We start from the raw sequence: 12,452 nt of genomic DNA, 5'->3' as shown, positions 1-12,452 counted from the left end.
AAATATCATTGCCTTGAATGCTTTATGCAAAAAAGTAGAGCATAGACAAAATTAAATGTAGGTTAAATGATATAGTTAGTATTTTTCTTACTGAGCCTATATAAACTTTCATTAGATAGAAAAATAACAAAGATTTTTGAAAAGTCTATCAGTTCATTCTATAAACTTTAAGTGTAGTGCTTAAACAGAAAATGCTGTAACTTGCATTTACCTGTTTTTTAGCAGAGCTGTGAGGCTCTCGGAATTCAGTTGCTGCATTAAGGCCTCTCTCAGTGTTGGAAGCATGGACAGCACTGTAATACAAACAAAAAAAATAAAAAAGGTCACAAGTGATATGACTGCCCTCACTAAGAAATGCGCATTGTTTTAGGCTATATGATAGGGCTAGCAACTAGCAAGAGTCAGAAGGGAAAGTCAGGGCTAGACGATTCAAATTATTATTATTATTATAAAACGATTATATCCTAACAAATCATTTATCTGCTTATGTAATTTAACAAAATTATATAAACATTATGATCACAGCAACACAAGTACACACAGAAGAAACAATAGAAAGAATTATTCTCAGATTTTAACAGTGGTGGTCTTTGAGCTATGGATTATGAACAATTCCTTTTTTTTCTTTTCCATACTCTCCAAATTTTTTACAAAAGTGTTTACTTCTGATTTAATGACAATGATCAAAAGCATTTTTATATTCAGCTATACTTTTTCCTTCATTTTTCATTCTAATTTTTAAAAAGTTTATTAAATACTACAAAGTAATAAACATTTATTATAACCTAGACAAAAGTGCACTGGGTTAGGAACTAAGAGTTGCTGAGTTTTAGTTTTGTCAGTGGGTATTATTTGTTACTGTTTATTGTACATGTTTACTGTTTGTAATACTACAAAGCAATAAACATTTATTATAACATAAATAAAAGTGCACTGGGTTAGAAACTAAAAGTTGCTGAGTTTTAGTTTTAGTTTTGTCAGTGGCTGTTGTTTGTTATTGTTTCTTACTCCCAGGAATAATGTGAAGATGAAATGAGACTAGCAATCTATGGGAAAAAAACTTCATGTGATTTTTAGGAGTTTATTTATGGCTCTACATGTGGAATAAGAAATGCTGGAGAATAAGAATCTGTCATGGGATTAGAGAAAAAAAGAAATGGAGGAATACACATATAAAAATGTAAAATGAGTCTCTAAACCCTAAAAAAGTAACGATAACAAAATGAAAAAATATGAAGACCACCACATTCCTTTTCTTTTTGAGACAGAATCTCACACTGTCACCCAGGCTGGAGTGCAGTGGTGCAATCACGGCTCACTGCAGCCTTGACCTCCTGGGCTCAAGCGATCCTCCTGCCTCAGATTCCCGAGTAGTTAGGACTAGAGGCGTGGGCCTCCATGACCAGCTAATGTTTTAAATTTTTTGTACAGATGAGGTCTCACTATGTTGCTCAAGCTTGTCTTGAACTCCTGGGCTCTAGCAATCCTCCCACCTTTGCCTCCCAAAGTGCTGGGATTACAGGTGTGAGCCACCACACCTGGCTATGAACACCACATTCTAAAAGGGAAAACTTCTTGGGTAAGAAAACTACTTATATTTACCCCAAAGCACTCTTTTTTTTTTTTTCTAGTATATCAATTACATCTTATCCAAAGGAATAGAAATTTGATATTATTTGTAACACCATTATCATTGCTCATGTTATGAATTGTACAAAAAATGCAGAATGTGCAGAAAGCTAATTTGGAAAGTTTCACTGAACCTATATTTTGGCTCTTAGAGATTAAATATTTTACTTTTAATTGCCTATAGTCAGCTATTTGTTCATCTTAGGGTTGCATCATGGAAACGTGTGACCCCTATCTTTTGCTGGAGGAGCATACATAATTGACAACCCCATCTGCCACTGCTCTGGATCCATCACCATGTTTGCACTGCTCCCAGCCAATGACACTGCTTGTATGGGCACAGTAAAGCAGGCCCATTTCTGCAGGTCTCCTCTACCAGAAACTTTGGCTTGCAGACTCTTCATGGTCTCCCAATGCTTTCTTAGAACTGTGCTGTAGTCTGAGACTCTTCTTGCCTAATCTTTCTTCCTTCCTTGTCTTTTTCCCTTCACAAATGTCAGACCTGCACTGTGGCCTAAATGCTTCGCTTGCCTTCTTCTGCCTCCCTTCCCCTTTATCCTTTACAGGCATTTCTACTAGTAGATCTCTTGTACATCTAATCCCATCCTAGCATCTGCTTCCCAGGGGACCCAAACTGACACAAGGGTCCATGTCAAACTGCGATGTATTTTAAGACCCCAGCAGCTACATTTTACTTTTTTTTTTTTTTTTTTTTGAGACAGAGTTTCACTCTTGTTGCCCAGGCTGGAGTGCAATGGTGTGATGTCAGCTCACCGCAACCTCCACCTAACAGGTTCAAGTGATTCTCCTGCCTCAGCCTCCCAAGTAGTTGGGATTACAGGCATGCAACACCACGCCCGGCTAATTTTGTATTTTTAGTGGAGATGGGGTTTCTCCACGTTGGTCAGGCTGGTCTCAAATTCCTAACCTCAGGTGATCCACCAGCCTCGGCCTCCCAAAGTGCTGGGATTACAGGCGTGAGCCACCATGCCTGGCCCATTTTATTATTTTTTGAAAATTCAAATAATAAGCAGAAATGGACCATTCCCTAAAAATTCATTAAAATGTCCTAGGCAGTGGCAATATATTGAATGCTAAATGTAAATTTAAAAAGTTATCATTTACCAAGTATTTATCATACATCAAGCACTGTATAGGCATTATCTCATCACGGCCTCACAAAACATTTATGAAGTGGCTTTTATAATGTTCATTTTACTCTCAGAATTGTCATTATGTATAGTATTTATGATTACTATTCGCTTTGCAGAATGAAGGTATTTTTCTGAGTATTACTACTTCAAATATTAAAAATCATACTCCAATTGTAATTTTGGATGTGCCTCTTACCCTTCTTAATCTCAGCCTCAAGTAAAATGAGGTAAGTAAACTAATAATAAAGGCCTTTAACTCTAAAAAATTTCTAATTTTAAAATTAAATAAGGAGAATGTACCTTTATAAATTGTTTCTAAATTAATTGTTCTTGAAAGAATGTTAGAGAAATGAGTAAGCTTTAAACAATAGAAAAGAAAAACAGGCTTTGCATGGATTTGAGAACTAATTCTTCAGTTATGCCAGTTAGGACACACTGTTCTCTTCAAATATGGGCAGGTTGATTTTGTGATGGCATTCTCCCAGGACTATGTTTCTAGCTCTGGAGGTTAAATTATTGCCATTAATTAACATTGCCTGAGTGTATACTATTGTGGACGACTCACAGGTCTATAGTTGCCTACTGTAAATTTAATAAACTTAATGACTCTTTCCTATGGCCCACAGGCCCGATGGGATCAAGCCTACTTCTGCAGCCTTGTTTCCTATCACTGCCATTGTTCATTCTGCTCTAGCTACATGGCCTTTTTGCTGTGTCCTGAGAGTACCAAGCTTGTTCCCGCCTCAGGCATTTCACATGGCTCCCTCCATTGTAACATTTGGTTTCTGCTCAAATGTTACCTCAAAGAAACCTGACTCTACTGATCCCCTGTCTTAAAGAACGTTCCAGCCCTCACATGGCTTTATGTTCCATATGGCAGCCATCACTGCCTAAAGTTACTTATTTGTTGTTTATCATCTTTTCCTCTCCCTAGAATATAAACTCCAAAGGTCAGGGGCTTTTTGTTGTTGTTGTTCACTTCCTGCTTCCCCAGGCCTGGATACAAGTATTTGCTAAATGAATAAATAAAATGAATGAACTGATTTTTAAAATTCACATTAAAATGATGTAATTCAGTTAAATCATTCAAACACTTGCTAGATTTACCATCTTTTCTTTGCCTTTTCCTCTAAATTTGATCCCGGTGATATGCAAATTAATACAACCGTCAAACAACTTTACACATGTATAAATATTTCTCTGTCTTACCTGTCATATTGCAAGTCCTCTGGTTACTTTCAAAATGATATTGTCGTCGTGCTTGGGCAATGTATTCTGCAGCCTCCCTTTCCTGTATTTCTCTGATTTTCTTCTGTCCATATTTCCCCAGAATATATACTCCTACAATCATTAAAAAAGTACTATATTCATTAGAGTACCAAAAATTCTACACAGTATTTTTAACCTACTTTATGCAATTATAAGTTTTATATTAGTGGATAGCTAAAATTACATTTTTAAAACCTAAATAAAGAATTTTGTAAGATTGGCCCAAAGAAAAGGAAATTAGCATTTTTACAGCCAATGACAGAGGAAATGATGGGCACATAAGGACCAGGTTTGAGGAAGGGAAAGGAATTAAATCTAAAAAGTCTGGCAGTGCCTTTACTAGTAGACTAGAGATATTCTACATGTCCAGCAATGGAGAATTGTTTAAATAAATGATAGTCTAGCCATACAACGAAATCTTATGTAGTTATTAAAAACCACATTGCTAAATAATGACTCAAGGAAATATCCATGTTATACTGTTAGGTGATAAAATAAGATCCCAGAAATGTTACTTTTTTTAATGGAAACAGATACAAAAAATAGGTGAGTTTTAATTTCTAAAATATAACAAACAATGATCATTGCTGAATGGTGGGATAACAGGTCATTTTGTCCTCTATATTTTCTTCAATGAACACAAAATGCTTTTTAAAACTATAAGATAAAAATTTTAAAAGGAACAATGAAAGAAAGGTAGTTAGTCAGGCAGAAGTCTATTTATCCATCCATGTGTTAGAAAAATCTCTTTGAGATAAGGAGAGAAAATACAACTCTCTCATCTAAAAATTAGTAACTTAACTGGAAAAAAAAGAGGGAAGAGGGTACAGAAACTCCTAAATTCTAACACCACAGGATAAGAATATAGGTGGTGTCATGTGGCCTGTGATTTAACAGATTTCAGCATAGGCAGTATGATATATATGTGTACATTTTAGTCTATATCTGAGGGGCAGTCAGTTTTCCTAGCTGGGAATGTGAACATTCCAGAGTGGTTAGTTAGCCACACTTGATCAAAAGCCACATTCCAAAGCTTAAGCTCTTCAACTAGCTTTTATCACTGATTTAGCACCAAATATTTTTGATTAGCATAATGATTATCAGGAATGGATTTTCATAGATTAATGGTTTTCAAGATACTGGACTAGCTAAAACATTTTAGTAATATTCATATGAACTAGAATATACAAATCAAGCAAGTCCTTCACCTTTGCCTGGGATCCTTAGCCGCTAGTTCAAAGGATTCTTAGTCAACTGAGTTAACCAGGTAGCCAACCAAATCCTACAGCTAGAATATTGTTGCATTTTCTTCAGGTAAATCTTTTATAAGCAGTTCTGCGGTAGCATGAAACAAGGGCAGAACACTGGGACTTCAATAAGCTTACAGAACAGGTTGTGTTACTTTTAATCTCTGTTTGCCAGTAGATGTTTTTAAGTGTGCCAGAACTTGGTTTCATTATAACCTGAGAGCAAGGCTGTAAGGAATTAACTAATGCTCACCTACCTCCCACTGTCTGTGACCCCCAGTATCTACTAAACATAACCTAAGAATTGTGCATGACCTAAGTAATTAGATTTGGTCTGTCACAGGTAGAAAGTGGGTAGCCCTCTAGCAACTGCAAAACAAATACATATCCTGAATTATTTTCACTAATACAGGTGCTATAGGTGAACTGATAAGATATTACATATTCTTAAAAATAGTAGTTCAGTAAAAGGGTATGTGCTAAAAACAATTAGAACTACAGTATGATTGCTGTTGCTATGTTTATATGCAATTAATGTATTATAACCAAGCTTAAAGAAGAAATGAGAGTTCATATAAGTGGCTACATGGCTACCTTTCCTGTACTCCATTCTAAAGAAACTGATGATAGTGCTACAATACCAACAAAGGAAACTGACTTACATTTCACAAAGTTACTCTATGACAGGCAATTCTGACATAATAGATCTGAAGGAATTGTTTGTATCTTATTTGCACAACAGCTTACTGAAAGTTACATGTAAAATGATTATTTCTCAAATTATACTGTAAAATCAACACTAAGATGACACTTTTTGCACAGCTAAGAATTTTTTTCTTTAACAATAGTAAATTTGATTGGTGTGTTTCTCTGGGGAGAAGGTCCACTGCTTTAATCAGAGTCTCAACAAATCTGATGATTTTTTTTAGGAACTGCTATTTAACACATTTCAGCATAGGCAGTATGATATAAGTGTGTACATTTGGTCTATATCTGAGGGGAAGTCAGTTTTCCTGAGTGCGAAATTTTCCTGAACGTGAAATCAGAATGTGAACATTACAGAGTAGTTAGTTAGCCACACTTTGATATTCTAACTAAACTAAAAAAGAAAATGAATTGCCATGGGAGCCCCAACACCTCAGAATGTGACCTTATTTGGAAATAGAATCTTTACAGTGGTAATCAAGTTAAAATGAGGTCATTAGGGTGGGTCCTAATTCAATAAGACTTGTCCTTATAAAAGGAAACTTGGACATCGACAATTGCAGAGGGAAGACAAAGCAAAAACAGAGGAGATGCCTATCTATGAGCCATGGTGAGAGGGTTGGAATAGATCTTTCCCTTACACTCTGCAGAAGGAACCAATCCTGATCTTAGACTTCTAAATTTCAGGATTGTAAGATAATACATTTCTGCTGCTTAAGCCGCCCATTTTGTGGTACTTGGAAATCAGGCTAAAATCACACAATCCATTATTTTTCTTGATTTTAGCACTGAACTAAGTTCTTATACAAGGTCTAATTCATCCAGGCTCATAAATTCTGATTTTGTCAGATTTGTTCCCTTAGAAAAATAAGAATGAGGACAGGTAATTCATTAGCTAAAACATGGAGCTCATGACTATCTATATACTCGACTGGCAGCCTAGCCTGGAAAACAGGAGATATTGACGGCTCTGGTATCAAGTAGTTATGTGACTTTTGAGAAAGTCCCTTCCTCCCTCTGTGTCTAAATTTCTTCATCCTCAATATGAAAGACTGGGATTATATGAGCTTTAATGTTTCTTTTGTAGCTATGACTTTATGTATTAACAATGAAAATATTTACTAAATACCTTAAAAAATAAATGTCAAATGCTTTGAGTTTTCCATTAATAACATTACTAGAAAATAAGACTTCTAGTCTTTCCACAATTCAGTTGTTTTAAAACCATCTCTTAGTCTTCTCTTTCTGGATGAAAATCCCTACAATGCAACTATTTCACAAGGTTAATAATTTCAAAAAAAGTTTGAAAATAACCTATTGTTCCCAATCCAACAGATCACAAAATCCTACTACAGTATTCTGATTCTATTTCAGACACATTTTCTAAATCTTGCCAATTATCTACAACTTCTTTATCACTGTCACCACTTAGACTCTAAAAATTAATGCTCTTGAACTGGTTCAATAGGTCCCTAACTCTTCACTTTCTGGTCACACACCTGTTTAACCTATCTTATATATGCAAAGTGATTTTCTAAAACATAAATCTCATATCACTCATGTTTTTAGAATCCTTCAACATCTTGCCATCATTTCTTAATGTGGTTTCCCTGTTCCACTTACATTAGAATCACTTGGGACAATTAAAAATGTAGCCTTTAAAGACACTCCTTGAAAATACCCCTAAATGGGCAGGGCGCGGTGGCTCATGCCTGTAATCCCAGCACTTTGGGAGGCCGAGGTGGGCGGATCACGAGGTCAGGAAATCGAGACCATCCTAGCTAACATGGTGAAACCCCGTCTCTACTAAAAATACAAAAAAAAAAAAAAAAAAAAAAAAAAAAATTAGCCGGGCGTGGTGGCGGGCGCCTGCAGTCCCAGCTACTCAAGAGGCTGAGGCAGGAGAATGGCGTGAACCCAGGAGGCGGAGCTTGCCGTGAGCCGAGATCGAGCCACTGCACTCGAGCCTGGGCGACAGAGCAAGACTCCGTCTCAAAAGAAAAGAAAAGAAAAGAAAAGAAAAGAAAAGAAAATACCCCCAAATGTCTTATCTTGCATGATGCTGCATCCCCAGTACATAAACTCTGACTGGGACTCAGAACGCAATAAATATTTGCTGAATTAAGGAATTCTTGAACTGCACTCTAAACCTAAAGAATCAGAATCTGGAATAAAGGATCCTATGTTTTATTAAGCTCCCTAAGTGATTTTTTTATCCATAGTAAACTCTAGCAAGCACCAATACAAAGGATAATGTCCAAATTATGTAGAATGGCTTCATAAGGCCCTTCACAATCTGTACTCTAGCTACTTTTCCAAGTTAATCTTTTGCCACTTCTCATTTGCATAGCCATAGTGAAATACAGTTTCATTCATAAAAAGCAATGTTGCTGAACCTCTTGAATTGCTCTTTTTCCTTCTGTGTCCTTTCTCCTTTGCTAGCTCTACAACTTAAGCAGAAATTCTTCCTTATGGAGCTTTGCCTGACATCTTCACACTTTCTTCTCATCAATGCTCCCACAACACCCTGCTCTATTTTTGTACTATACTATCATACTACTTTTATTTCCATTTCTGTACCATGAGTTCAAAGTCAGGATCTGTCTTATTCCTTTGTATTTCCAGAGTAAAGTACAGTGAGATCAGTCACTTACTCTCATTCAAATGTTTGTTCAATGACAGAATGAATGAATGAATGAATAAAAAATGTGAAGCCAGAGATTACAGGATTTAAGGTATAAATCCAAGTCAATGTTCTGAGGTTTTCAGAAACCAGTAAGTCAATAAATATCAATCTGGTTGCTCTCTGTTCTCCAAAACTTTTTCCAGTGCAATGGTTCTCAAAGTGTGGCATGGGCACCCCTGGGGTCTTTAAGACCATTTCAGGGAGTCTATAAAATCAAAACTGTTTTCGTAATAATACTAAAATGTTATTTGCCTTTTTCATTCTCATTCTCTCATGCGTATACAGTGGAGTAATTGAGAGGTTACATGATGTGTGATACCACAACTGACAGAATATAGAAAGAGATGAGAATCCAGCTTTCTTCAATTAAGCCAAACATTAAAAAGATTTGCAAAATGTAAAACAATGACACTCATTAATTTTTTGAAAATGTTATGTATGTTAATATGTAATAGGTTTATTATTTTAAAATGAATTAATATTTTAAAAAATTTCATTTTAATTTTGAATATCATAACTATTAATAGATATAAAATTTAGAAAGCTTTTGAGGGTCCTTAATTTTTCAGAGTGTAAAGGAGACCTTAGATCAAAAAGTTTGGGAGTCAATTCTCTAGTCTTTTCACAAACTGGTCAAATTATGCCAGGCTCAGTGGCTCATGCCTGTAATTCCAGCACTTTAGGAGGCTGAGGCAGGACGATTGCTTGAGGCCAGGAGTTCAAGACCAGTCTGAGCAATGTAGTGAGACCCCTGTCTCTACAAAATAATTAAAAATTAGCCAAGCATGATGGTGCACACCTGTGGTCCTAGCTACTTGGGAGGCTGAGGTGAGAGGATCGCATGAGTGAGGAAAGTGTGAAGATGTCAGGCAAATCTTCATAAGGAAGCCTTTCTACTTGCCTTACATTGTAAAGCTAGCAAAGGAGAAAACAAGGCTGCAGTGAGCTACGATCACACCATTGTATTCTAGCGTGGGTAACAGAGCAAGATCCTGTCTGAAAAACAAAAAAACAAAAAAACACAAAACCCGAACACACCCAAACCCCCCAAACTGGTCAAATTATACAAACGCGTAAACCAATTAGTTACCCACCCAAAATCTGAGGAAACAGAAATTGTTACTTAAGAAGGCCTGCTACTCAAGGTTTTACTTACTTACTTCCCCCACTATTGAATGCCCAAACTTCTCTGCGCATGCCTGTTGATATACTACCCAGCTTTCAAGCCTGTCAAAATGTGTCTCTTCTTCCATGAAATTCTTCCTGATTTTTCACAACTGCATATGCTACTTGCCAGTGTGATCTGTACAGCATTTTTTCACCTCTCTTGTTTTTCTGTATCTTAATTACATGTATACTTGCTTTTCCTTCCTATCAGACTATAAAGGCCATGAAAGCACAGTGATATAATATGGAAATAGAATGTGCTTTGTGGTCCAACACACCTGGGTTTGAATTCCAGTTCCCCTTCACTAATTCTGAGACCTGAGGCAAGTTTCTTAAATTCTTAGGGTTCTTGCTGCCACATTTTTGAATGGGGATAATAATAATTGTCTTCTTGTCATTCTGCTTAAATAGGAAGAGCTTAGCACAATGCCCAGCGTAAAGTGGGCACCCAATAAATAGTAGCTGTTACTATTAAAAATATATAAATCTTGTATTTCCATTTATATTACCTTCAGCATTACAGGCACTTGATAGGTATTTCTTAAGTTAGACTAATTAAAATCTAACACACTGTAGAACTTTCTCCCTGAAGCAGAAAGAACATGAGACTCAAACAAATGCCAACCACGGTCATCTACTCTTCCTTTCTTTTCAGACTGACTCCTTTTTTGATATAAAACACTAGGATTATTTTCTCTTTCTGGCCGTCTGAACTTTTCTATTTTTTGCATTCCTCTTATTCTGTAACTATAAAGCTCTTGTTAGTTTTTTAAAAAAATTATAAGTTTAAGTATACTCTTTTGCTTCCCCTGTGATTATTTCTAATCTACTACAAAGTTGTTCCATAAGCTGAAGGAGTATTCCTTCTGAGATCGCTAAAGAGATAATTTTCCTTCCTTCAGTAAACGCAAAAATACTTTATTTGTATTTCTTCAATCACACATATATTTTTAGCTTTTATAAATAAAATGGACTCTGTAGTCTTAGGATAATTTAAATATACATTAGATACTAGCGACTGAAGATATCAGAAAATACCTTTTATATATAAAGGATTTCTCGAAGGTGTTCAAAATTTACATATGCTTATTATTGATGTGTGATAGACCTCAGAGACATGCAAAACACCATCCTTGGCTCAGCAACAAGAACTCTGTTTCAAACTTTCAAGCATCACCAAAATCTGAACTATTGATGCTAAAGGTATTAATTGCAAATTGTTTGGGGAGAACAGAATACAATCTAATACGTACTGTTAATTTCAAATTGTTTGGGGAGAACAGAATACAATCTAATACTAAGAGAAAAGCCAACCAAATTCTTTGGGAAACTCTGTTCTTGATTTTAAGTACTTTTGTAAACATAGCATGTAATAAGTGATGAGACTATTTCTCAAAAACTCAAGTTCTAACAAATTTCCTCTTTTATAGTTCCTAGATGTCCTTTTCATATAATTCACAAAACTTTTATTCCCTCCTTCAAATCCCTGAATATTATCACATGAGCATTGTATGAGGGAAAAGCGTCTCAAGATTTTTATCTTATCTGTTTCTAAATCTCCTCTGGGCCTGTGCAACTCAGTTATGTCAGCTAGATTACAATGATCCCAACCTTGAAGATCCTGAGGAAGATTGCACAACATCCCTCAAGCATTTTTCTTACTGCCATAGTTTGTATTCTAAAATGGCAGAAACAGAGCTAAAATATTGATTTGTTTTTCTTTATCTAATCCATATCTTTCAGTCCTTTAGGACAACTGCGCTGTTTTCAAAAATTCAAATCGACTTTAACCACCACCCGAAGTGCAGCCTATAGGTAACTTCCCTAGATTATTATTAAACTCCTGAGAAGGGTGAGAGCCAAAGTATCAAGAGTGCCAAGGAGAAATGCAGAATCTCACAGGAAAGCAGAATTTTTTTTAAAAAGTTCCTGTAAGAGAATGGTGCCTTGAAACAGAAACTTAAACTGTGATGAGTTCTCCAAAGGTCCGTGAGAAAAAAGGATAGGTGAGAAACAGAGTTAAGAGTCGGTGACAGGGCAAAGGGCACAGAGGCATTTCTCAACTGCAGAGATGGGAGAACCCTGGAGGTTGGCCACCTCCCTTTTCATCCCATGGTTGATCGAACTCCCTCTACATATCCCAGACTAGGATCGCCCGGCCTGTCCTTATTTTAGAAGAAGTCACCTCTCCCACCCCCTTCTCCCAATGCCCCCTTTCAAGCACGTTGTCACCCACCTCCAAGGACCGTGCCCAGGAAGATGCATTTCTTTTTGTGGCGTTTCAGAAAATTCCATACAGACCTCAGCATCTTTAGGCCCTAGGGGTGTGGGCTGACTAGGGGTGAGGGACTGCTTCACCAGGAAACTGTTTCTTCGTCACCTGGCCCAGATGACCCAGCAAGAGCGCCGTCGTCCCGTTCTGTGCTCTCCCGAAATCACAAACGTGACTTTCCGCAGAGACTGTCACCGGAGCGGCAAGGGGGCGTGGACTACAGCAAAGCAGCTACGCTTTCTGCCGCTGCCGCCGCGCAGCCGCCGCCGCTCACTGGTCCGACAAGCCCAGGTCCGTTCAGAAATAGCTCCCGAGTGCCTTTT

General features: G+C 36.8%; 1 protein-coding gene across 1 annotated transcript in view; it reads right to left on the bottom strand.

Annotated features, from left to right (window-relative positions):
* PEX3 (peroxisomal biogenesis factor 3) overlaps positions 1-12,404 on the bottom strand; it is a 39,812-nt gene extending 27,408 nt beyond the window's left edge. The window contains exons 1-3 of the mRNA NM_003630.3: positions 12,094-12,404; positions 3,993-4,124; positions 212-293 (exon numbers count right to left, since the gene is read on the bottom strand). Coding sequence (NP_003621.1) covers positions 212-293; positions 3,993-4,124; positions 12,094-12,166 — 287 coding nt within the window. The 5' untranslated portion in view covers positions 12,167-12,404. The remainder of the gene's footprint in view (positions 1-211; positions 294-3,992; positions 4,125-12,093) is intronic.

The sequence above is a fragment of the Homo sapiens genome, chromosome 6 (assembly GCF_000001405.40).
Source record: "Homo sapiens chromosome 6, GRCh38.p14 Primary Assembly".
Taxonomy (NCBI): domain Eukaryota; kingdom Metazoa; phylum Chordata; class Mammalia; order Primates; family Hominidae; genus Homo; species Homo sapiens.
The sequence above is the reverse complement of the archived record's forward strand: the minus strand, read 5'-3'. Positions and strand labels throughout refer to the sequence as shown.